This window comes from Homo sapiens, chromosome X (assembly GCF_000001405.40).
Source record: "Homo sapiens chromosome X, GRCh38.p14 Primary Assembly".
Taxonomy (NCBI): Eukaryota; Metazoa; Chordata; class Mammalia; order Primates; family Hominidae; genus Homo; species Homo sapiens.
The window spans coordinates 26,206,850-26,234,306 of record NC_000023.11 but is presented as its reverse complement, the minus strand read 5'-3'; the positions used below and the strand labels follow the sequence as shown (position 1 = coordinate 26,234,306).

Here is a 27,457-nt window from a genome sequence, read left to right as displayed (position 1 = left end):
ATACATTGTGAAACACTTCACAATCATAAAAGTTAAGGCTGTTTCTCGTCAAAAATAGGGGATTGAAGTGAAGTCAGTGAAAATGGTGGAGTAGAGAACTCCAAAAGTCTATTCCTAAACAACACTTCTAATACATTGGCAGAAATCATCAGAATCAGTTTTATTAGAACTCTGGAAATTAATCACAGGTTTACAACAATGAGGGAGAATGGTTAATCAAGAAAAGGTGGCACAATCTTGGTAGAAGACGTTTGTGGAATTTTAACTATCGCTGGCTTTTATAGTCGGTGGTGGCCTTGAGGGTGGGAGTCTGCATTCCACATCTGGATTCCTTATGCCAGAGAGAGCAAAACAGATGTTGTTCTCAGGAAATTGTAGTTGTTTTTGCCTGTCTGCTGACTCCCTGAAGGATGGGCTCAAAGGACTCTTTATTTTTCCTAAATCACAGCTCTTCTAGGGTGGGAACAGTTCTGGAGCAGGTGTCAAAAATCACTTAAAGGCAAATATATTAGTCACTGCCACCCTAGGCAAGGGATAACAGTTGGGGCAAAGAATAGGCAAACAAAAAGCATGGGAAGAAAAGAGTGATTTGCTTTTTGGAATAAAGGCTTTGAAAAACTACCACATACTTCTGGGAATCTAAAAGGCCATATGCATGCCTAGGGCCGAGAACTGCTCAAAAAATTACCCAAGAGCCCCTAATCTCTCACCTCAGGTTCACCTCTATGCTCTGTACAAGCAGGACGGAAAGTATAGGCAAAGTTGTAAATTGCCAGACTGAGTGTAGAAGGCATGCTCCAACTCACACACACACAAATACACACACACACACACACACACACGCACAGAGAGAGAGAGAGAGAGATCATCACTTTGGGATTAGTTATCAACATAAGAATTTGGGGAGGACACAAACATTCAGTCCATGGCAGGCACCAAACCATAGATCCTGAAAGCTTAGAGAACACCAAACAAAATAAATTAAAAAAAAGAAAGAAAGAAGAACAACTGGGCATATCATATTCAAATTGCAGAAAATCAAAGATGAAGAAAAAATCTTAAAAGAGAAAAAAAATCACCATACCTATAGAGGAGCAAAGATGTGAGTTACATTTGACATTTCCTCAGAAACCATACAAAATATATGAGTGGTGTGAAATATTTAGTGTTGAGAGAAAAAAAATCCATCAACCTAGAATCTTACTGATATGGTTTGGCTCTGTGTTACCACCCAAATCTCACCTTGAATTGTAATCCCTGCAATCCCCACATGTCAAGGGTGGGACCAGGTGGAGGTAATTGGATCATGGGGGTAGTTTTCCCCATGTTGTTTTCATGATAATGAGTGAGTCTCCTGAGATCTGAAGGTCTAAGCATCTGATATTTTCCCTGCACGCTCTCTTCTCCTTCCTGTTGCCTTGTGAAGACGTGCCTTGCTTCCCCATTAGCCTTCCACCATAACTGTAAGTTTCCTGAGGCCTCTCCAGCTATGCTGAACTTTGAGTCAATTACACTTTTTTCCTTTGTAAATTACTCAGTCTTCAGTATTTCTTCATACCTGCATGAGAACAGATGAATACAATAAACTGGTACCACAGAGAGTGGGGTGCTGTTATAAAGATACCAAAAAATGTGGAAGTGACTTTGGAACTGGGTAACAGGCAGAAGTTTGAAAAATTTGGAGGGCTCAGAAGAAGACAGGAAGATGTGGGAAAGTTTGAAACTTCCTAGAGACTTGTTCAATGGTTTTGACCGAAATGCTGATGGTGATATAGACAATGAAGTCCACACTGAGGTGGTCTCGGACGGAGATGAGGAACTTATTGGGAACTGGAGCAAAGGTCACTCTTGCTGTGCTTTAACAAGGAGACTGGAGGCATTTTGCTCCTGCCCTAGAGCTCTCTGGAATTTTGAACGTGTGGGAGATGATCCAAAACTGGAACTTACATTTAAAAGGGAAACAGAGCATAAAAGTTTGGAAAATTTGCAACCTGATGATGCAACAGAAAAGAAAAACCCATTTTTGGCAGATAAATTCAAGCCAGCTATAGAAATTTGTGTAAGTAACAAGGAACCAAATGTTAACCACAAAGACAATGGGGAATATGTCTCTAGGCATGTCAGAGGTCTTCATGGAAGCCCCTCCCATCACAGATCTGGAGGCCTAGGAGGAGAAAATTGTTTTGTGGGCCAGGCCCAGTGCCTTACTGCTTTGTGCAGTCTTGCGACTTGGCACCCTGCGTCCCAGCCATGGCTAAAAGGGGCTAATTTACAGCTCAGGCTGTTCCTTCAGAGGGTGCAAGCCCCAAGCCTTGATGGCTTACATGTGCCCTTTGGCCTGCAGGCACATAGAAGTCAAGAACTGAGGTTTGAGAAACTCTGCCTAGATTTCAGAGGATGTATGGAAACGCCTGGATGTCCAGACAAGAATTTGCTGCAGGGGTGGAGCCCTCATGGAGAGCCACTTCTAGGGCAGTGCAGAAGGGAGATGTGAGGTCAGAGTCTCCACACAGAGTCACCACTGGGGCACTACCTAGTGGAGCTGTGAGAAGAGGGCCACTGTTCTCCAGACCTCAGAATGGTAGATTCACTGACAGCTTGCACTGTGTGCCAGGAAAAGCCACAGACACTAAACACCAGCCTGTGAAAACAGCCAAGAGGGGAGCTATACCCTGCAAAGCCACAGGGACAGAGATGCCCTAGGCTGTGTGTGACCACCTCTTGCATCAGCATGACCTGGATGTCAGACATGGAGTCAAAGAAGATTATTTTGGAACTTTAAGGTTTAATGACTGCTCTATTGGACTTTGGATTTGCATGGGGCCTGTAGTCCCTTTGTTTTGGCCAATTTCTCCCATTTGGAATGGGTGTATTTACCAAATGCCTGTACCCCCATTTTATCTAGGAAGTAACGAATTTGCTTTTGATTTCACAGGCTCATAGGCAGAAGGGACTTGCCTTGTCTCAGATGAGACTTTGGACTTAGACTTTTGAGTTAATGCCAGAATGAGTTAAGACTTTGGGGGACTGTTGGGAAGGCATGATTGGTTTTGAAATGTGAGGACATGAGATTTGAGAAGGGCCAGGGGCAGAATGGTATAGTTTGGCTCTGTCCCCACCCAAATCTCATCTTAAATTGTATATCTCATAATTCCCATTGTTGTGGGAGGGACCTGGTGGGAGATAATTGAATCATGGGGGCTGTTGCTCCCATACTATTCTCGTGGTAGTGAATAAGTCTCATGAGATCGGATGGTTTTATAAGGAGAAACTCCTTTTGCTTGGCTCTCACTCTCTCTTTGCCTGCTGCTGTCCATGTAAGACGTGAGTTGCTTCTCCTTGCCTTTTGTCATGATTATGAGGCTTCCTCAGCCACGTGGAAATGTAAACCTCTTTCTTTTGTAAATTGCCCAGTCTCAGGTATGTCTTTATCAGCAGCATGAAAATGGACTAATATGCCAGCTATGCTGAGCTGTGTGTAAATTAAACCTTTTTCCTTTATAAATTACCCAGTCTTGGGCAGTTCTTTATAGCAGTATGAAAACAGACTAATACACTTACCCTGTGAAATTATCCTTCAGAAGAGAAGGAGAAATAAATACTTTCCCTGACAAACAAAAATTGAGGGAATTTCTTGCCAGTAGATCTACCTTGCAAGAAATCTTAAAAGAAGGTTTGAAAAGAAGGAAAATGATAGGTCAGAAACTTGGATCCACATAATGGAAGAGAAGTCATAAGTGAAGGTAAAATAAGAACTTTTTATTTTTCTTATTTTTGATTTGTCTAATAGATATCAATTCATTCAAAATAACAACTCAGTATTCAATGATAATAGCTTATATATAAGTGAAATGAATGGCAGAAATGATAACAACAGACAGGAGGGAGAAATTAGAAATATTTTGTTATTTTAAGGTACTTGCAATATCTTTGAGGTGATATAGAATTACTTGAAAGTATACTTGGATTGGTTGTAAAACTATATCTCTACTGATTTCCTGTTTCAAGGTTTCAGGATATAAGGTCAAACATTGATCACTTTTCTAAATAAAAGAAATGAACAAGTAGAATTTGAAATTTAAAACACATTACCATTGACATAATACCTCAACAATGAAATCTGTAGGTATAAATCTAACAAAATATGTATAAGATCTATATGAGAAAAACTATGAAATTCTGATGAAAGAAATCATAAAGAACACAAAATTTGAGAAATATTCTATTTTCATGGATAGAAATTATTGTCAAGATGTCAGAGTTTCCCATTTTTATAAATTCAGTGTAATCCCAGTCATATTCTCAGAAAGTTATTTTGTGGATATCAACAAACTAGTTCTACATTTCATATGTAGAGAGAAATGACCTTGAGTAGCCAACACAATATTGAAGGAGAAGAACAGCTTCAGAGGATAGACAGTACCTGACTTTGAGACTTACTATAAAGCTATAGTAATCAAGACAGTGTGAAATTGGCAAAAAGAATAAACATATAGATCAACAAAGGATAATAGCCCACAAATAGGAAAAGAAGAGCTAACTACACCCAAAGCTGACAGAAGGAAGAAAACAATAAAGGTTTATTGTGAAGATAAATGATAGAGCTTTAGTTTCTAATTTCTAAACAGGGCATAATAATAGTATAGACCTCATAGGTCTATTGTAAGAAATACATGACATGAATCAGATAAACTATGTCTGCCACATGGTAACTACCCTGTAGGTATGAATTGTTTTTTCTAAAAGAGAATAAAATGCAAATATCAGTGAGGTTTCAAAAAACCTCTTCTCTAATTTTATTAATACATCCAACTAACAAGGGTTGCACTGAGGAAATACAGAGTACGCACATCTAACACAGGCTGGCAAGAGGTGGTGGTGAGGATAGCAAGGGAAGGCTTCCTGAGTATCCTGCTGTCACACCTCAGCTCCATCACTAGGCATGGCTTATGAGCAAGGTTAAAAAAACAAGACCAGGGAGATTAAACGATAAGGAAATTTACACAAATGGACCTGGGGAGAAGATATGATCAGGTATATAAACCTCACTCTCCAAAGTAAACTTTTACATTGAATGGGGTTGTTATGGGGTGGAGATGGGGCACGGTTGGGATGGGACAAATAAGGGTCATCTTCAGAGACTAGGAAACCTCTGAGTTAGAGAGAAGACCGGTGATTCTGATTTATTTTTTCCATTGGGAGCAGTGGAAGAGGCTGCGAAGAAGAGCTGGTTAGCACGTCAAGACACATAATTTGACAGAAAAACACACTGGGAAGGCTGAGGTGGAGGGTCCTGTAATGTGGTATTGTGCTACATTTGGATAAAATACAGCTGCCGGAACAGCATCAGCTTTCAAGGAACCCTCGTGTGAAGACAGAAAGAGCCTGAGTAAATGAATCCAATTGGCAATCCCAAAATTGTGTTTTATTTCTATTTACATTTATTTTACCCTCGTTAGGCCTGGTTTTAGAACGTTGGCTACAGAGTTATTTTTATCTTACATGAGATATTATGAATAGTGGGAAGAGCACTTAAAGAGGAGACACAGAGACTACTTCAGGCCGGGAAGAGTGGAGACAGTTTGAGATCTACACAGATTACAACAGTCCAACCTTTGTCACTTACTAGCTATGCAATATTGGGGAAATTTCCAAAACTTTGATTCTTGAGTTCTGCATCTGAAAAATTAGCTTCATTTTGCAAGGCTGTTGGAAAGGTCAGAGATAATAAATGCAAAGAACCTAGCCAACCTCTCCACATGTATTAAACCTTTAGTAAATGAAAGTTGTTACCATTACTGGTGCTGATTGCTACCTTACCTTCTAGAATTTTAAAGAAACTATTGAGCAGTTCTCAGGGAATCTGAGGTACTTAGGACCCAGAATACCAAGAGTCAAAATTACTACTTAATAAATAGAACTAAACAATGGAGAGAAAGTTATTTAGTATGAATATGGGCCAATTGTTTCAATCTGAATGCCATTCAAATGACCTAGTAGTTGTGTAAGGGGCCATATACTATTACGTTATTCTCCTTTGTTTTGCTCCCAGCTGTATCTTCAATCAACATCCCAATTGCCACTCATTTCACAGCCATGAAACACTCAGCCCTTGCCAAATTATATTCAAGATATTACAATTTTATTGCAATGTACTTGAATTGGACTCCCTCAAGCCAAAGGAAAGCGTGCCAGCCAACTGGTTTCCAAAGATCAGCTCAAAAGAATATAACACTTATTTTTCAGTAAATCTTTTGAGAAGATATAGGTAAAACAACTACTTTGCAAACTGTGTTCAAATGCAATGGGAAAGGGCCCAGAACATCTACCTTGGACTCTACCAATGGGAAGTTTCTTTACTGTTTATCCAGGATTCGAGGGCCACTTTGCATTCCAAGATTTAGTCTCTGACACACACTATCTAAAGGGCTGACTCTTGTTCCCCATTCCCAAAGTTCTAACTCCTCATGACATAGCAAAATTTAAACTTCAGTCACTCTCATGAATTTGCAGTTTCCCTCAACAGACTTGCCTTGAGGCATTTACACTTAACTGCCAATTTACTACACTCATGTGGACCACAACCCTCTTCATTCTTTCTTTTTATTTGTCCTTCTGGTATAGCGTATCTCACAATCTTCCTTGTGATACTATTGCTCCTAGACATGAAAATCCTGACATCTTCAGCAACAGCACAGTGTATTCCAAAGAGCAGATGTCCAATTAATGTTAAGGGAATAAATGAGCCAATGAGCACAGTATCTAAGTTAATAAGATTTAATTTCTCCTAAATTCTTAAATAAGGTAAGCAAATCCAGATCTAAGTCATTTAATTTTACAGACCAACAGACTAAAAATAATAGGGAAGACAAGAATTGACAATCTTTTACTTTATTTTGCTCTATTTCTTTGTTGTTGTTGTTTGGACATGAGTTTATTTACATCAAAGTCCTTATAAAGGCCTAAAAATCTGATTTTGTGGCACATATTTTGCTCTATTTCTTGAACCCAACGGTTTTATTGCTGAGTAATCTCACATTTCCAGAGAAACACCTATTTCAATGCCATATTATCCTGTTCTGGATCACAAAATGAGATGGAAAGTTTCTCCAACTTGTTTCACAAAATATAAAAACTCCTACTTTTAAACTCGATACACAGCAATAAATGTGTAAACCACGTGATCTATAAACTCATACTCAGAAACGATTTAAACTAATTTTTAAAGAAACATTTGAAAAATAAGAAAGAGAAGGAAAGGAAGGAAGGAGGAAGATCTTCAAGTTATCATATAAATAGGAATACAAAGTTGATATGCATCCAAAGTGAAGGAAGTGACCACTACAGAGTTTGAATGCTCTAAATCATGAGGAGAGCAAGTAATAGTCTTCAGAGGAGGATGCAGAGTGAAGAGCTGGCCAGCAGGTCAGGTTCCAGAGTTAGGGGTGCACACTGGAGAAATTCCAGGAGAAAGGTGTTGTAATGATGGAAACAGCAAGAGCTGGATGAAATAGCTCCTGGACAGAGTTAGTTCTCAGGGATACCATGGGCCTCAAAGCAGCAGGATCCTAGGTTAATGAAGTTTAAAGACAATCTCCAAATTTTGATTTATTCTCACACTTAACTTCCTTTTATAGGCCTGCTTTTAGTACTTTGACTACAAGTGTCTCCTTTTTTTTTGCCTGAAATACATTTTGGAATAGTGAGATTAAAAGGTTCATTAAGAGACAACATGTCTACCTCAGGTGGGAAGAGTGGAATGGTTTAGACTCTAGACAAATTCAGACCAGGACTCTTGTCCTAGCTCTGCCATTTACCAGTCTTGTGAACTTGAGAAAATTGGAAGTCTATTATCTGCCAAATGAATTTGGTAAGCCTTATCTTGTAAGACCATTAGAATGTATGTACTACATATAAACCACATGGCAAGATGACTGGAATATATTACCCAATATTTAAAGAATGGCAGTTTTTAATATTATTATTTTGATTCAAGAGGATAGAATCCACCACACTTGGAAGTTTTTGTTTGTTTGTTTGTTTGTTTGTTTTGGTCCAGATGTTAGAGAATATGGAATACTCTTGTACAAAAATATTGAATCATCCAAAAATTATCCCTAGCAAGTAAAGTTATGTAAATATTGTCCATGAGGGCACCTGTTGTTTAATTCAGTTGTGGGGTTGTCTTCCCCAGCTAGATGTAACTCAAGCTCCTAAAATTGGTGTCAAGGCACAAGTTCTCGTATCCTTCTCAGGTGCCTTTCCATCCCAAACCATCTTTGTTTACATTCCTTATACCCTTAACAAAATCTAGCCCTCTTTTAAGAGTTTGCCAAATTATCCTCAATATAACTAAATCAAAATGTCCTTTTAATGCACCGGGATCTAATTCTCCCATTTCAAGGCAAAAACTGCCAACATAGTGGCTTCTGTGCATTTCCTCTCAAAGGATTATCATTCTTATTCTTCAGAAACTCCTTGTAGAACATGTGTTTAGAACACCTAATTTGCAAACTATGTTTACCTGCACTGGAACTAGAGCACAATACACCTTCCCACCCTGCCCACGTGGAGATTTGTCTCTGGTTTACCCACAATCCCAATAGAAGCAATTTTCCATTATAGAGTGAACGTTGTATTTCCCCAAAAATTCATGTAATGAAGGCCTAGCTCCCAACATTATGATATTTGGAGTGGGCCTTTGAGAGATAATTACTTTTAGGTGATGTTATAAGGGTAGGGACCCCACATTAGGATTTGTGTCTCTATAAGAGGAAGAGAGACTAGAACTCACTCTCTCCCCTCCTTGTAAGGAGACACAGAAAATGTGACTTTATGCAATCCAGGAAGAGTACCCTCATTAGGAACTGAATATGTTGGCTCCTTGATCTTGGACTTCCCAGCTTCCAGAACTGTGAGGAATCAGTTTATGTTGTTTAGGCCACCCAGATTATGGTATTTTGTTTATAGAAGCCCAAGTACAGTAACTCTTGGGATTTTATCTCTCAACTGAAGCACACCCATCGAGGGTATGGCTGCTACTCATCAATTCCAGAACCTCAGCTAGCCCACCAACTTAAATGAAAGTTACATTCCACCGAGGACTTGCAGTTTTCCAAAGCCCCAAACTGCCTGGCTTAGGAAATTCCCTCTTGGTTGCTCTCATAAGGAACACCCTCATCCTCACTCATTATTTTTAATTTAACTATAGGTCATAAAGGGCAGTTAAATGATCGTAGCTCATAGGCTCAAAACTTCTATAAGCAGGGAGTGGGTATTTATCTGAGCATCTCCAGTATTAGCACAGAGCCTTCTGGAGAGCAGATGCTCAATTAATGTTTGGTCACTAGAAGAGCCAGTGAACACAAGGTCTAATTCCTAATTTATTAAGATTTTTTGTTCCACTTTATTGAATAAGCTAAGAGAAGCAAAGTACAAATGAGTTAATTTTACAGAACTAAAGATTAAGAAAAATCAGAGAAAACAAGGATTAATCGTGTTTTATTTTTTTCTCCATTGTATTACCCTACTTATTTTACTGTGTGATTATTTCAAATTTTCAAGAAAATCTTTCCTGTGGTGTCGTATCTTCTTATCTGAATGATCAAAAGTCCTCAGTCCTCAGTAGAGGTAGGAAGATATGCTGGACATATGGCTCTGGAAACTGCACTAGCTTTGGCAGTAGCGCCAGGCATGGCTGCATCTATGGCTTGGGCTCTCTCTTCCTCATCTCACAAAGCCTCTTCATAATGGGATGTGGAGACACTAGGGACAGTATCACTGACCTTTGCCAAAACTTCAGGACTTTCATCTTACTGGTTTCAAGATGTGCTCTTAAATCCCAAAGGAATTCATAGCGTGCAGGATCACTGTTGAGCAGTACTCCAGGTACTTTTTAGCCTCATCAAATCCTGAGTGATGAGCTTCTTGAGCTCTCCATAGTGTAGTGCTTCCTCCCAGCATATGTTCACATCATATCTAGGAATTTCCAGATGTCTTCCCCAATGGCACAGTTGCTCTTTATGAAGATCACACTCAGAAGATTTATCAGGAGACCAGTCTTGGGTAACCCCCTGCCACCAAACACCCTCCCATTGTTGGGAACTTTTAGCTTTACAAGGTCATAACAAGGTCATATGAGTGATGGGTTGAATTGACTTCCTTCATATTAACGTAAAGGCAACCTTAATGCACTCAGAAGTTCTTCTGAGGATCTCAGCATACTGATTTCGGTATTTTTAGTTGACAACCTTCAGCATATCTTCCTTTGTAATGGGCTGTTTCATTTTATACTTGTAGAGCAGGAACTGCTCCAACAACCCAGCTTTCCTGGTTTGAGGGTCTCTGCATGAGTTCTTACTGGAAGGTGGGGCCTCAGCCGTGCTTTTCTTTTCCTTATCTTGGCCATTGGGAAATTTATCAGATCTAGTGCAAAAAATGCCTATTTAAGTAGTGGTGGATGAGGCTTTCTGAGGCTCCTTCAAAGTGCTACATGACCCAGCAGTAGGTAGGCTCTCAGTAACACCTCCACAAAGAAGAGGTGAGGAGGGAGGAGACTCTTCTGCTGCCACTACTATTGCCTGAGTACCCCCATTACCCCGAGTCTTACTTTGAGTCTGGTGACATTTCTTATGGACATGGAACTTACTTTTCTGATACCAAGACATGATGACTCTGGTTAGGCAGAGTAGGAAAAAGTGTGGACAGGATGGCTGGCAATGTGGGCACCTGAAGGAGGGAGAATGAGATGGTGTGAGCACCAGCAGCAGGGAGAGACTACCATGGCTTTAACAAAGGCCACAGCCACAGGTTTCCAAGAGCACTGCTTTAGGAACCCATGGAGCTCCTGTTCTCCTGGTCAGCCTCTCCACTGAGAACCCTGTGGATAAAGTTAGAGTGAGTTTTAGGCTGCAGCCTGCCAACCCTGCCTTAGGTGTACTGAGATGGTGGCAGGGGCTGGTAATGGGGGTTCTCTGTTATGGAGTGTGGGGGTCTAAGTTCATAATCGTAATCATCATATCAATTGTTGGCAGGCCCTGGTTCCCCTCCCTTCTGCTGCTCTGAAGTTGACACCTCAAACCAAAGCCAGCACCTCCCTGAGACCCCAGACGATAAAGTGAAGGAGGATCTCAGTCCACCATCTCTGTCAGAGGGCACCCAACTGGGAGCTATATGGAGGTCTCTCTGTCATGAGATGCTTGGGTCTTCAGTTCTCATTCTAGGAATCCACCTGATCTCTAGGTAGTTCCTGGAAGACTTCCCTTTTGCTGACTGGTGGCTACAATCATACACCAAAGATTTCATCTGCCTTAGATTTTATATATATAAAGAAGTGGGGAGGAGCCTCAGCCTGATAGTCCTGCCCTGGTCCTTTAAGTACTGAGTGCAAGGGTGGGGCACAGATGCTTTGTTATCTATTCAATGGTGGGTGGTCCTCCCAACCCTTCCTTTGTCTCTTGGCATGGCCCAGGGCTTCTCTATTCCCACCAGATTCTCCTGAGACTCTCTAGTAAGATATGGGTACCACCTCACCTGCCTGTGGTCTTCCAAGGCTGAGAATAGGGGATGAATTTGGTGTTCCCCTCCGACACCATGTCTTCACCTTAATTCCTAGTAATACCTGGAAATCCTCCTACTGCAGACCTCAGGCCATCTACTTTAGACAAAATCCCTCACCATCATTACCAATAAACGCCCCCATACCACAGCAGGAAATGAGTGCAAGTCATGTAATCAGTGCACAGGCATCCCAGGGTGCCAGTAGAGCAGGGGTTCCTTCAGTCCTCATGTAGGGCACTTACTTTGATTCCTGGCTGCACCTTGGCTGCTTTTCTTTGCTGACTTGAGTACTCTTCCCTTAGACCAAGGCCCTCACATCTCTGAGACCCCCTTGAAGAAGTCAGCCTGGCCCAGGGCTTCCTAAGTTTGATGGCAGGAGCAGGCTTTGTGCTACGGTACTCTTCTGAGATCAGTGGTCCCTCAGAAATCACGCAGGCTTCTGCTGTTGATTCCCTGAAAGGCATGGTACTCCTTCCTTTGCTGACCTTAGCCCTCTGTCCCCTGCCCACTCCAGGCCAAGGACCTCAGCTCCCGGTATCATCAAGTAGGAAAGGAGAGCTCACATATACTTGACATCCATGTTCGGGCACTCAGGGAGCTGCAAACAAGAGCTTGATGGGATTCTCCACCTAACCTTCCTCACCTTGACTGCTGCTAGGGTTTGCTCCTTCTCCCTCAGCTGCTCTGGGTTCACGTACTTTTACTAAGACCCTCACCTCCCCGAGGCCCTAGAGGCAGAAGTGAGCACACATCTCATCCTGTCTACTCTGTTCAGTGCCTCCCAAGACTGAGAACAGGGGTCAGGCTTTTTGGGGGAGAAGGCCCGGGGCATGCTTCTGAGGTGGGTGGTTCTCTTACTCTCATTAGGTATTCTCACCTTGACTTCTGCCTGAGCCTAAGACCCCTCGCTAGCTTGCACGTGTGCTAAGGTGGCCTGCCTTAGGCCACGTCCCTCACCTTTCTGTGACCCTCGGGTGGAAGTGAGTCCTACCCATATTCCCAGTGAAAGTGTTCTCAAGGCTGACTGCAGGGGTGACATCTGTGGTGCCTTCTCTGTTCTGGAGTGGGTAGTTCCCTCAGTCTCACAGAGGATTCCCAATTTGACTTCTCTTAGAGCCTTACTTCAATGAGAGCCCTTTGCAGCAAGGCCCTGACATCCTTGGCTCCTGTCTCTTTAATGAAAAGCTTCCTGGGAAATGCCACACTCCTGAAAAATCTTGAGCAGAATAGGTCTGTGTCCAAGTGGAGTGATGTGAAATGGGGAAGCTGAAGAACGAGGCAGAGGTCCTGGGATAGGAGGTGGCTGTCAGAAAACACACACTAATCTAATTCTCTTCATCACTAAGACTTAATCTTTCACAGTCACTGGCAAATGTTAGGTGTTTAATAAATGACATTTATTTATGATTATTTATGATTATCTTCTTATCTGAGATTTTTTAAAAATCCAGGATATGTCAGAGAAAATGCAATGCTCTCAAACAACACCAAATCATCCAAAAATTTGCTGTAGCAAGTAAAATTAGATTTTCCCCACTAGGGAATCCATTATTTAATTTGGATGTTGGGGGTTCTTCCCCATCTGGATACAATTCAAATCTTCTAGAATTTTGTTAAGGACTAACTCCTTCAGTGCATCCCAGCTACACTTCCATCCAAACCCCGTATATTTTCATTCATTTCTTCCCCACCAAAATCTAGCCCTCCCTTAGAATCTGCCAAATTACACTCAGGATAATCTCATTAGAATGTCTTTTCCTAGTAGGATCTAGTTCTTTCTTCCAATTCTAGGTAAAAAGAAAAAAAAAAGCCAACACAGTGGCTTTCGTGCATCTCACTCTTAATTTAGGGAAACTCCCTGGAGACAATTTGCATAGAAAACGTAGCTTGTGCATTGTGTTCTACTGTACTGAGATAAGAGCAAATGTATCTCTAATTCCTGTCTATTATGAAATTAATTTTGCCCCCAACCTCAAATTCACAGGCTCAAGTCCTAACCCCCAGTACCTCAGAATGTGACTCTATTTGGAGATAAGGTCTTTAAACAGGTGATTAGTTAAAATGAGGCCATTAGAGTACTTTTATAAAATCTGACTGGAGTCCTGAAAAGAAGAGGTTAGGACACACTAGGAAACACCGGGGATGCACACACACAAAAGGACAACAATGTGAAGAGGCTGCAAGAGGGCAGCCTTCTGCAAGCTGAGAGAGGCCTCAGAGGAAACCAACCCTGCTGGCACCTTGATCTTGGACTTACAGCCTCCAGAACTGTGAGAAAATAAACTTCTGTTGTGTAAGCCACTAGTCTAAATGTAAAGATTTCTTTCTGGATTATCTATGATCTCAAAGTAATTCATAAAAGCATGCTTTAGTGGTGTCCTGTTTATTGGTGAGGAAGGAATTTCCATATTATGGTTATGTGGTATTCAAACACATGATACTGGGCACTGTACAGATGAGGTCAACAGCAGTTTATTAATCACATATACTCACAGCCCAGGGTAGCAGTATACCACATACCACACAGGGTCACACAAGGGTTGTACTCAGGAACAGAGTGAATGAATAAGGTCTCTGGGAGGCATGATTTGTAGATCAAGAGGGAGAGGTGACCTCTAGTTCTCATGGGAAGACGTGATTGGCTTGTGTGAATAATTCTGAAGGCTGTCAGGGAAAGAAAACAAGATCTGTGCCTGGTTCTCTTAGTAAAGACAGTTGTTTGGCTAAGGGACTTAATCTGCAAGTGCATAGTGTAGAGAGGAATTTCTAGTTAGGTCATTTGAAAAATCGAAGGCAATATATTGTAGGAGATCAGTCAGGGTGGTGGGAAAAATTGTAGAAAGATGCAAACCTTCTTGGAAAGCCAGGGGTTTGCAAAGCTTCCAAAGAAAATTTGGCTGAAGGCAGCTGAGTTCTCTTAAGAGCTTAGGTTAGATAACAAGGGGATGTAAAGAAACTGATCTAGATAAGTTAATTTACTTAGGCCTCGGAACCTGGCCTTTAATCATCCATGTGCAGGACTGCTCTCTCCAGAGGGGCCACCATGTTAATTATCCACAAGTGTGTTGTCTCAAAGCCTTTCTCATTAAATCTGTGCTGAATAAATGCCTGCAGCACCAGCAGCTGCAGCTGCTGACTCTTTACAGCACCCTCCGTGGGGTCTGTGCGTGGCCGGTCCCCTAGCCCACTCTTTCACTGGATGTCTGTGTCTGAGTGCATTCTTTCATCCATCATTTGGCCATGGTCTGCGGGTCAGACCCCGGCAGGTGGTGCCCTGTGAGAGGAATGCTGCAACAAATCATGAAGGAACCCTCCAAAACAAAGGTAAGGAGACTGTGCAGTCAGTAAGTCAGTAAATCAGTAAGTCATCGGTGCCTGCTCAGGATTTCCAAGTTCGAGGGAATTGTTCAGGCTAGGGTTTCATCATGGGACAACAGTTATCAGCTCAAAAGAAACAGTATATAAAAGTATTGAAACAGCTGCTTAAAGCTAGTGGAGGCTTGGTTTCACAGGCTCAATTAAGGGACCTAATGCAAACTGTTGTATCTCATAACCCATGGTTCCCAGAAGAAGGTATGCTAGATGTAGAGCTCTGGGAACAAGTGGGAGAAATCTTAAACAGCATCATGTGCAAGGGCAACGGGTCCCAGTAACATCTTTAACATTATGGGCTTTAGTTAGGGTGGCTTTGGTCCCGTTATACACAGAAGAGCCTAAAAAGGGGAGGGAAGAGGAACCATCACCTACCTTACTGCCTCCTTATCCCTCAGCCCCACTATCATCGGGCCAAAATAACAAAGAGGAGACAGAGGTTTTGCCTGAGCCCCCTCTTCCAATAGATAGGAAAAAAGATAAGGGATACACTACAGCTATGGGACCCTGTCTTAGGCAAGCAGCATTAGAAGGGGAGCTCTTAGCCTGCCTGGCAGTATATAGTATTAGGCCTTAATTTTGGGCTTTACACTATAGTTCAGTTTTCCATTAAAGGGTTTTCTCTCTCAACTTTGAAATGCATCATCTGAGGGTTCTGACCTCTGTTTACCAATTTCATAGCCTCATCTAGCACCCCCATGCAATTAATTTAAAAATTACAACACATTGACTTTCAGTTTCCTAAAACTCAAACTGTCTTGCCTCATGAAATTTATGCTTTACTGCTCTCAACTGGAATGCCCCCTTCTCATCGATCCTTTCTACTTTCCTGTAAGTCATAGAGGGTGGCTCAACATTTACTTTATATGACTGCAGCTTTTAGCCTCAAAGATTCTATGGGCAGAAGCTGGGCCTTTATCTGAGCAGCTCCGGTACTGTTACAGAGCCTTCCAAAAAGCAGGTACTCAAATGATGTTTGGGGAATATGAGAGAGAGTGAGCAAGAGATCTAACTTATTAAATTTAATTTATCCTACATTGTTAAGCTAAACATATCAAGGTATAAATTTTAATTTAATTTTATAAAACAAAAGACTGAAAGGAATGAAGAAAACCAAGATCATGTTTTATTATTTTTTTCTATTTCATTATCTCAATTATTTTACTGGGGGTTCTTTTGTATTTCCAAAAAAAATCCCTTTTGGTGATGTTATATTTGCTTGACTGGATGAAAAAAGCTTCAGACTTCAATAGGGTTGAGAGAAGCTGCTGAACTTCGCCCTGAGACAGTCTTGGCCACTGCAGTAGTGCCAGTTTCGGCTGCATCTCTGGCTTGGGCTCTCTTCCTCATCTTGCAAAGCCTCTTCATATTGTGATGAGAAGGCACCTGGAGCAATATCATTGACCTTGGCCAAATATTCCAGGACTTTCATCTTGCTGGTTTCAGTATAGGCTCTTGGACCCCAAAGGAATTGATAGTGTGCAGGATAACTGCAGGGCACCTGGTGGTACTCCAGGTACGTTAGCCTCACGAAATCCTGAGTGATGAGCTTCCTGGGCTCTCCATAGATGTAGTACTTCTTCCCATCATATATTTGCATCATATCCAGAAATTTCCAGGTATCTTCCTTGTTGGCACAGTTGCCTTTCAGGAAGATCACAACCAGGAAAGTCATGAGGAGACCAGTCTTGGGTAACACTTTGCCAACATGAATCCTCCCATTGTTGGGGAGTTTCAGCTTGCTGACAAGGTCATATAAGTGACAAGTTGGGTTGACTTCCTTCAAGTCAACTGCAAAGACAACCTCAATGTGCTCAGAAGCTCTTCTGTGAATCTCAGCAAACTGGTTTTGGTATCTTGGGTTGACAATCTTCAGCATATCTTCCTTCAAAATACGCTGTTTCATTTTGAACTTGTAGAGCAGGAACTGCTCCAACAAACCCACCTTAATATTTATGAAATTGCTGCATGAACTCTCAGTGGAGGGTGAGACCTCTGAGGAACATGGGTACTCCTCATCTCTACTGTTAGCCCTTTCGTCAGATCCTGCATTAAAAACACCTGCAGAAGTCATGGTGCTGGATTCGCAAGGCTCCTGGGAAGTGCCACTTGACTCAGCAGCAGATGAGCTCTGGGGAATATCCCCAAGAATAGGAGAGGAAGTGGGGAGGGGATCATCTTCCACTTATTCACTGGCCTGAGCTCCACTCTGAAGCAGAGAGTCATCTTGGATCTGGTAGTGTTTCTCACAAGTGTGGAGCTTACTGTTCTGATCCTGAGACATGTTGACTCTGATAAAGGACAGCAGGCAGGAGAATGAGTAGGAGAACGGGTCAAGAGAGCCCACTGGAGGAGGAAGATTGAGAGGGTCTGTGCACCTTCAACGTGGAAATTCTACCATGGTTATAATAAAAACAACATTTGCAGTTTTCCATGACGGAACTGCTCTAGGAACCCACTGGGATTCTGTTCTCCTGATCAATGTGCCCCTTGGGAAACCTTTGGAGGAAGTTAGACGGAACCATAGGCTTTAGCCTGGCAGCCCTGCCTCAGGCATATTAAGGTGACATAGTGGCTGCCAGTCTTCTGAGTTGAGGGGTCCTTTTACTTCACATTCAAGACAATCATGCCAACTGGTGGCAGGTCATGAGAACCATTTCCTCTGAAGTTATATTACAAACCTCCCTGGGACCCATAAGAAGGATGTGAAGGGGGTCCTCAGCTTATCACTGCTGTCTGAGTGCCCACGGTGCTGACTGCTGAGTAGATTATTTTCTGTCCTGGCCTTTCTGGGATCCTCAGTCCTCACTTGGGGTCCTTACATTGGCATATAGGGCCTAGGAGCCCAACTCCCTTCATTTGAATGGTGACTACTGCACCTTCAGACTAAGGATCTCACCTCCCATAGACCTGACATAAAGAGGTGGTGGAGAGCTTCAACTTCACAACCCTGCCCTGGCCCTTCAAGTACTGAAACCAGGGTAGGGCCAGATTCTTTTTTAACTCTTCTATTTAGTGGTAGATTGTTCCTTTAGCACTTGCTTTGACCTCTGGTAGGGTGTGGAACTTCTCCTTCCCTTCCTAATGCTTATCCCCTCATACTAAAGACAAAACAACCCTGAAACATGCCCTATGGGGAACGTGAGGGTCTTCTCACCTGTTCTCATTTGTTCTTACCTGTCCTCGTTGTCCCAAGGCTGAGAGTAACAGTTGAATTCTGTGGTGTTCCCACTCATAGTGTATGTGGTCCCCTCAGTTATTAACGTACTTACTGTGGCCTCTGGAGAAACCTGGAAATCCTCTAGCTGCTGACCTTAACTCACAATCAGACCAACTTCCTTACTTCCTTGTGACATCATACGAGGAAGTATGTCACATCATGTCAACAATGCCCATGTATTCCAGGGCTGCCAGTAAGGGTGGGGCTCCGTGTGGTTCTCTTAGTTCTGAGGGTAGAGGGTTTCCTAAGTCCTAACTAGGGACCATCACCTTAACTCATGGCAGGGCCTTGGACTTTTTGTTGACTTGAGGACCCTCCCCTCAGACTAAGCCCTCATATCTCTGAAACCCTTCTTGCAGAAGTCAGCCTGACAGCCCTGCCCAAGGCCTCTCAGGGTTGATGGCAGGGGGAGGTCCTGTGCCACCTCCCTACTATAGGGTCTGTGGTCCCCTCAGTCATCACTCATGCATTTGATTCCTGGCAGGGCATGGAACATTTCCCTCTACTGTCTAAGTCTCAAAACCTTAGAACGAGGTTCCCACTCCTTGAGGTCCCAGAATGAAAACAGGAAATGCCACCTGTCTGTGCCCTCCCAGGGATGACATCAAGATTCAGGCTCCTTGGGGCTATCTCTGTGGAGGGTAGAGGTCTGCCCTCAGTCCTTACTCAGGGTCCTCACCTTGACTCTTTACAGGACTTGAGTTTCTTCTTTCAACTTTAGGTCACTCATGTAGACTAAGGCTCTTATGTTCCTGAGAACACTGAACAATAAGTGAGAAATAGCCTAACAGTCCTGCTTCAGTCTTCCAGGTCTAAAAGCAGACACAGTCTGATCTCTGTTACTCCATTTACTATGGGGTGCTTGTTTCTTTACTTCTCATTCGTCAGAGTCTTCATTTTGGTTTCTACACTTTCTATGAGAGGCTTCTGGAGAAATGCCACATCATTCCAAACTCTTCATTAGTTTTCCCTCTGCAAACGTTGCAGAGAATAGGATGTGTCCTAAGAATGATGTGAGATGGGAAATCTGAAGCACAAAGCAGAAAGCTCTGGACAGGTGTGCTTTCAGAGAGAAAAAAAAAAAAAAAGAAAACCATTGCTGATACATACCTTCTTGTCACTAGGCAGACTTAGCTTCTTATGTAACTTCTGTTCAAATATATCTACTTGCTACAGCGAAGAGGCTGAGCCAAATGATTTTGTGAGTCCCTAGTCTTTTGAGGTTTCTGACATTGACTTTGCAGATAATGATATTGCCAACACATATCTCTTTCTTTATTCACAACTTGCATTTATTTTGGTATTTTCGTTGCTTATTCCTTGGGCTGTGTATTCCAAAACAGTATTTGGGGTTTGAAGTCTTGCTTTGTATCACCTGAGATATATTTTGAAGTAGTGAGTAGAAAATAAGTAACACAAGGTCTGCCTGAGGCTGGAAGAAGTGGGACAGCTGTGGACTCTAGATAAATTCAGAGCCAGGGTCTAGTCTAATTCTGTCACTTGCCAGTCTTGTGAACTTGAGAAAATTGCAAGTTTTTAACCTGCAAAGTCAATTTGATAAACCCCATCTTATCAAATATATATATATATATTCTATGTAAATCACCTGACACAGTGTTAGGTAAACTTTGGGTCTTTAATGAATGGTAATTATTACTAAACTTAGTTTGACCCAAGATGATGACAATCTTCCCTTACAGAATTTTATTTGCAGAATATGTTAGAGAATACTCCAAATAACATAGAAATCCACATCTGCTGAAATGCTGCCCAGCCAGTAAAATTGAGTAGTGTTTCCTCATTAAAGCATCTGTTATTTGGCTGTGGAGTTGTCTCCTTTAGCTGGAGGCAACTCAAAGTTCTTGTTTCGTGTTAGGGACCGAAAACTTCCCCGGTCACTTTTCCATCCAAACCGCCCCTATTTTCATTCACTTCATCACCACCAAAAACCAAACCCTCCCTTAGAGTTTGACAAATTATACTCAAAGTAACCTAATTCAAATGTCTTTTTAATGGAGCAGACTCTCGCTCTCCCAGCCTATGATAGGGGTGATGGTTCAGTGGCTTCTTGGCATTTTGTGTAAAGAAAGTATCACTCATATTGCTCAGATACTCCCTGGATATCATGTGCCCAGAAGACACAGTTTGTGAAGTGGGGCAACTGCACAGGTCTCTTTGCCTTCCTATCCCAGTTGGGGATTTCTTTCTTGTATATATACTATGTCAAAATAACTTTTAAGACTTGCTTCCGGGCCGGGCGCGGTGGCTCACGCCTGTAATCCCAGCACTTTGGGAGGCCAAGGTGGGCGGATCATGAGGTCAGGAGATTGAGACCATCCTGGCTAACACGGTGAAACCCCGTCTCTACTAAAAATACAAAAAATTAGCCAGGTGTGGTGGCGGGCGCCTGTAGTCCCAGCTACTCGGGAGGCTGAGGCAGGAGAATGGCGTGAACTGGGGAGGTGGAGCTTGCAGTGAGCCGAGATTGCACCACTGCACTCCAGCCTGGGCAACAGAGCCAGACTCCGTCTCAAAAAAAAAAAAAAAAAAAAAAAAAGACTTGCTTCCCATTTCAGGGACAGCGTCTCAACTCTGAGAGGCACCATCTGAAGGCCTGGCCCATGCTCACCACTCCCACAGCCTCATCAAGCCCAACCTGCAGCTTCATTTAAATTAACTCCCATGGAGAGACTTGCAGTTTTCTAAGACTCTGAACTGCCTTCATCAGATAATTTACATTTGACTACATTAATGTGAAATCTTCTCTTCCTTATCCCCTCTTTTTACTTGTCATTTGTGTCTTAGAGATGGTACCTCATCATCTTCCTTATATGTTAGTTGCTGCTTGACTCTCAAATTCGACAGGCAGAAGTTGGATCTCCTTTTGCTTACCATCACCAGTACTATCAGGGAGCCTTCCAAACAGCAGGTACTCGATTACGGGTTGGGAAATAATAATTAAAAAATAATGAAAACAATAAGCAGGAAATCTAATTTGTTATTTATTTTCTCATGCAGTTTGAATAAGCAAAGCAAATACAGGTTTATATAATTTAATATTACAAGCAATAAGCAAAAAGATTAGGAAAAAAAACAAATTAACTACTCTACTTTTGTTTCACTATTTTGTGATCTCAACTATTTTGCTGTGGGGTTCTTTCACATTTCCATGAAAATCCCTATTCCAATGCCAGGTTACCTTATTCTGTACTAAAAATAAAATGTTGAAGATCTTTCCCTGTCTATTGATATATCTACATCTATATTACCTATATCTGTGTCATCTCTATATATGTTTTCCATATATATATATTTATATTTATTTTAATAAATTTTGGCGGCTATAACAGAATACCATAGGTATACCATAGGGTGGTTTTAAACAATAGATAATTATTTACCACAGTTCTGGAGGCTGGGAAGTACAAAATGGAGGCACTGGCAGATTTGGTTTCTGGTGAAGGCGTGCTTCCTTGTTCATAGATGGCCATCTTCTCACTGTCTCCTCACATGAAAGAAGGGATAAAGAAGCGCTCTGGGATTGCTTTTATAAGAGCACCAATTCCAATCACGAAGGTTCTGCCCTCATGACCTAATCACCTCAAATACCCAACCAGCAAATAGAATATCTGTCTATCCATTTATCTATCTATCTATCTATCTATCTATCTATCTATCTATCTATCTACCTCCTATTGGTTCTGTTTCTCTGGATAACTCTTACTAGTACAGGTATCTATATCATATTTTGAATATTTATAGCATTTTATAATAAAGTCTATGTTTCATCTCTTTTGGAAAATCTTGAAAGCTTAAATAATTAATCACAAATTTACATGATCAGAAAAGGAACATTGTTGATATTCCTTTATAACAGTTATTCCAGAGTATAAACTAGTTTATAGCAGTTTATACTCTGGAACCAAAAATCAGGTGAGCAATCACAATACCTGGTTTTAAATTCCTATCACTGAAAGGGGCATTGAGGAAAGCAGAAGAGAGAGTCTTGAAACACTGTTACCCCTCACCCAGCCTCTTCCACCCCCCACCCTTCCCCACAGTAGCCATGCAGTGCAGAGAGAGAATCTGTGCACTGTGGGGAGAGAACGCAGTGACTGGAGGATTTTACATTAAATTTGGTGCTGCCCTGTCACAGTGAAGTATAAACTGCTGGTTTATACTCTCCTACTTATATGTTAATCCATCTATATAAACATATAGGTACACACACAAACATACATACTTATTACGTGTATGTAGGTATGAGTGTGTGTGGCCCACAATCTCTGTACTCAAGTTTTTGCTCTAATGTTCTTCAACTGTTGATTAGCTTGCAGTTTGGGGACATTCACGTGCCATAATAATTTAGGTTTTAAATTTGGGTTATACTACTTATACTTCTGGAAAAGAATAATTAAAAGGGATAGATTTAACAACATACCTAAAACAACTTTAAAAAATAGATAAAAATGACAACATATCTATGTCAATTTTTAATATAGTGGACATCCGGCAACAAAAGACAGTGATTCCTGTGAGACTGAAAAGAAGGTGAGCCTGTAACTTCCCCAGCTTGCTGCCTTGAGCCTGCAGTGCAGGGAGGGGTAGCTCATTTGAAACCTGGCCATCTTCTGTTGTTGAGGAGATGAAGCTGACGGTGAGAGGAGGATCCGATGTCTAGAGTTCCTAGCACAAAGTATCTGTGAGGAAAAAGTTTCACAGAGAGAGAATTCCAGCCTACCTAGGGGGTTCCTGTTCTCGCAGCCAATGTAAAATCATGTCATGCCCAGAACATGAGAGAGACAGACTAGAGAGAGAGAGGGAGAGTACTCAGAAGGGGTTAATCTCTGTAGTGATGCGAGATTAGTCCTAGATTTATGAAGCTCTGGTCACACCTAAGAAACTTTAAAAGCAAGAATTATCAGGATCATAGCATTTTGAACAAACTTAACTGAGTCACAGAACAAAGTATAAGAATATGAATCTATTTAAAAAATAAATATCCAGCACACTTATGCTGTACAAATGTGAGCGAGGCCAAATTCACAATACTTGGCATACAATCTAATTGCCCGACACGCAAAGAAAATGGAGAATATGTCCACTAGGGAGAATATATAGATCAAAACATCATATTGTATCCCATAAATATGCACAATTATTATCTGTCAATAAAAAATAGATTTTAAAAATCAATGGATTAAAATTCATTGAGAAATGACATAGATAACATAAGCAGACAATGACATTAAAAGTTCATGTCTCTTCAATAGATGGTTGTGGGTAAACTAGATATCTATGCAAAAGAACGAAACTAGAACACTACCTCTCATCATATACAAAAGTCAAATTTAAATGGATGAAAGACTTAAATGAAAGACCTCCAACTATGAATCTACTACAAGTAAACATGGGGAAAACTCTCCGGGACATTGGTCTGGGCACAAATTTCTTGCATAATTCCCCATTAGCACAGGTAAGCAAAGCAAAAAAAAAAAAAAAATGGAAAAATAGGATTACATCAAGTTGAAAAGCTTCTGCACAGAAAATGAAATATTTAAAAGTGAAGAGACAATCCACAGAATTGGAGAAAGTATACTCAAACTACCCATCTGACAAGCAAATAATAAACAGAATATATAAGGAGCTCAAACATCTCTGTAGGAAAAAATCTAATAATCCCATTTAAAAAAATGGGTAAAAGATTTGAACAGACATTTCTCAAAGGAAGACAGGCTAATTGCAAGCAGGCATATGAGAAGGTGCTCAGCATCACTGATAAACAGAGAAATGCAAATCAAAACTAGAATGAGATATCATCTCACCCCAGTTAAAATGGCTTATATATAAAAGACAGGTATTAAATGCTGGGGAGGATGTGGGGAAAAGGGAAGGCTCGCACACTCTTGGTAGCAATGTAAATTAGTACAACCACCATGGAGAACAGTTTGGAGTTTCCTCACAAATACTAAAAATTCAGCTACCATATGAGCCAACAATCCCACTGCTGGGTGTACACCTAAAAGAAAGGAAATCAATTTATTGAAGATGTAGCTGAACTCCTACCTTTGTTGCAGCACTGTTTACGATATCTAAGATTAGGAAGCAACCTAAGTTTCCATCAACAGATGAATGAACAAAGAAAATGTGTTACATATACACAGTGGTGCACTATTCAGACATTAAGAAAGAATGAGATCCTGTCATTTACAACCACATGGATGGAACTGGAGATCATTATGTTAAGTGAAATAAAGCAGGCACAGAAAGAGAAACATGGCGTGTTCTCACTTATTTGTGGGATCTAAAAATTAAAACAGGCCAGGTGAGTGGCTCATGGCTGTAATCCTGGGACTTGGAGATGCCAAAATGGGTGGATCACCTGAGGTCAGGAGTTCAAGACCAGCCTGGTGAACATGGTGAAACTGTGTCTCTACTAAAAATACAAAAAATTAGCTGGGCGTGGTGGTGCACGCCTGTAATTCCAGCTACTCGGGAGGCTGAGGCAGGAAAATCGCTTGAACATGGGAGGCGGAGGTTGCAGTGAGCCAAGATTGTGCCACTGTACTCCAGCCTGGGTGAGAGTGAGACTCTGTCTCAAAAAACTAAAAACAAAAATAAATAAAAATGAAAACAATTGAACTTATGGAGATAGAGAGTAGAAGCATGGTTACCACGGACAGGAAAGGGGAGTGGGAGGAAGGTTGGGATGCTTAATGGGAACAAAATTAGTTAAAAATAATGAATAAGCCATATTTGCTAGTGCAACAAGGTGAATATGGTCAATAGTACCTTAATTGTACATTTAAGAAAAACTAAAAGAGTATAATTGGGTTGTTTATAACAATTAGACGTAAAGAATGAGATTCTGTCATTTGCAACCACATGGATGGAACTGAAGATCATTATGTTAAGTGAAATAAAGCAGGCATAGAAAGAGAAACATGGCATGTTCTCACTTATTTGTGGGATCTAAAAATGAAAACAGGCTTGGTGCGGTGACTGATACCTGTAATCCTGGCACTTTGGGAGGCCGAGGTGGGAGAATCACCTGAGGTCAGGAGTTCAGGACCAGTCTGGCTAACATGGTGAAATCCTGTCTCTACTAAAAATACAAAAAATTAGCCGAGTGTGGCAGCACACACCTCTAGTCCCAGCTACTTGGGAAGTCGAAGCTGCAGTCAGCCATGATCAAGCCATTGCAATCCAGCCTAGGTGACAGAAGGACACCATTTCCATGATAAAGAGCCCACTGGAACCTACTCCTGCAATAACAGCATTTATCCACTCATGAGAGCAAAAGCCTCATGGCCTAGTTACTTCCCCCTAAGCTCCATCTCCCAACACTGTTGCATTGGGGATTAAGTTTCCAACACATGCTTTTTGAGGAACACATTAAAACCATATTAGTCAGGAATGACCCTCATAATGCAGGATCCTCTGAATACTGCTTATTATGATTAATACAATGAAGTATAGAAGTGACTGATGCTTGAGATTCTTTGAAGGCAGCTAGGCAAATAGGTTATTTATTTCCCCTCTTTTTAAACTGGGTGAGGTGCTTGAGGCTAAGCAACGGGTTATACTCTAGTTTCTCACATTTGCTTGAAGGGCTCTTTGGAAAACTTTAACTTAATATGCTTTGTTAACCTTTTGTGCAAAAAGTCACTTTCTCTCTATCCAATCCTTCTCCCATAGGCCTTTGGATCATCTTAAATGAAAATCTTACACAGAATGCAAAATCTTATGCATGTACAATATCTCTCTTTCCCCTTTGTGCACATTAGCATTTTCACAGCTGGTCTCTTGGTATGTCTGTCTTGTTTTCCTCCCCAGCAGATACCCTTCTTCATGGTTCTTTGTTTAAGGAACTAGAGGCCGTTGGCCTGTGAAATTCTAAGGTGAGCCCTCAAAAATCAATATTGTGGAGAATTAGTGCCAACAGAAATTCTGGTAAAAGAGAAACCTCGTGGTATTTGGAATGCTGGGAATTTTGAGTGAAGCTGACCTGACAGCTTCAGGTTTCCCAGGACTCAGGAAAAGAACAATGAACTGAGAATATTTTTCTGGAGGACAAACCAAGACATATACCTTCGGAAAAATGAGTGTTCCTTTGTGCATCTGGGGAAGTGAGGCTGACTTAGGGTATTGGTAAGGAGTGAGAATAGAAGTAGGCATAAGTCTGAGGTTCTAAACCTAAGAGGCTGAGCAAGAGATTTGGGAAAAATCCTTAGTCTGATTTCTTTAAAGTAGTCTTTGGCTACTCCTACCTGGTGCTGAAAACTGCCTTGTTGATATATCCTTTTAAAATTTTCAGGCCAGGCTCAGAGGCTTATACCTGTAATCTCAGTACTTTGGTAGGCTGAGGTGGGAGGATTGTTTGAGACCAGAAGTTCAAGACCAGACGGGGCTACAAAGACCCCATCTCTATAGAAAATAAAAAATAAAAATTAGGTGGTCATGGTGGCATCCACCTGTAGTCCTAGCTACTCGAAAGGCCAAGGCAGGAGGGTTACATGAGCCCAGGAGTCCGATGCTGCAGTGAGCCATAATCCTGTCACAGTGCTCCAGCCTGGGCCACAGAGACCGTTTCTAAAACACATAAATAAATAAAATTTTCATCATGATGTCCCGAGATTGCTCTGGAAGCTTAGAATAATTTCAAAAGTAGAAATATGGCTGGGCAGTGTGGCTTATACCTGTAATTCCAGCACATTGGAAGGCGGAGTTGGGAGGATCCCTTGAGCCCAGGAGTTCAAGACTAGCCTGGGGAATATGGCAAAACCCCGTCTCTATTAAAAATATTTTTTAGAGATACAAGGATAAACCACCATTTTGGTTCCCAAGTTTTATTCAAGAACTCTGCAGTGTGGATTGAACAGAAAATTGGAAATCATAGTCAAAGGGCTTCCCTTGGTTCGCCACTCATTTATTTGTAACTTGACTTCTTTTTTTTTCTGCTTAAAAATTTCAATTCTCGTGGTAATACCAGAGTAGAAGGAGAGGGTGACTTTACCGAACTGACAGCCATTGGGGAGGCAGATGCGGGTGTGGAGGTGTGGGCTGAAGGTAGTGACTGTTTGATTTTAAAAAGTGTGACTGTCAGTTGTATCTGTTGCTTTTCTCAATGATTCAGGGATACAAGTGGGCTTCTCTCATTTATTAAAAGAAAACGCGACATCTTTCTAAGATTCTCTGTGGGAAAATGACTGTCAATAAAATGCGGGTTTCTGGGCAAAAATATATATATATATATTTTTTAAAATTATCTAGGCATGGTGGTGTGCATCTGTAGTCCCAGCTGCT

At 41.4% G+C, this 27,457-nt stretch overlaps 1 protein-coding gene and 1 pseudogene across 1 annotated transcript; both read right to left on the bottom strand.

Annotated features, from left to right (window-relative positions):
* Positions 9,699–10,655, bottom strand: LOC100130052 (MAGE family member B3 pseudogene; annotated as a pseudogene).
* On the bottom strand, positions 16,037–18,138 carry MAGEB5 (MAGE family member B5). The gene is made up of 2 exons (NM_001271752.1): positions 18,109–18,138; positions 16,037–17,222 (listed from the first exon to the last, which is right to left on the bottom strand). The coding sequence occupies exon 2, from the start codon at positions 17,003–17,005 to the stop codon at positions 16,178–16,180; it is 828 nt and encodes a 275-aa protein (NP_001258681.1). The 5' UTR covers positions 17,006–17,222; positions 18,109–18,138; the 3' UTR covers positions 16,037–16,177.
* Positions 18,139–27,457: the final 9,319 nt, after the last annotated feature.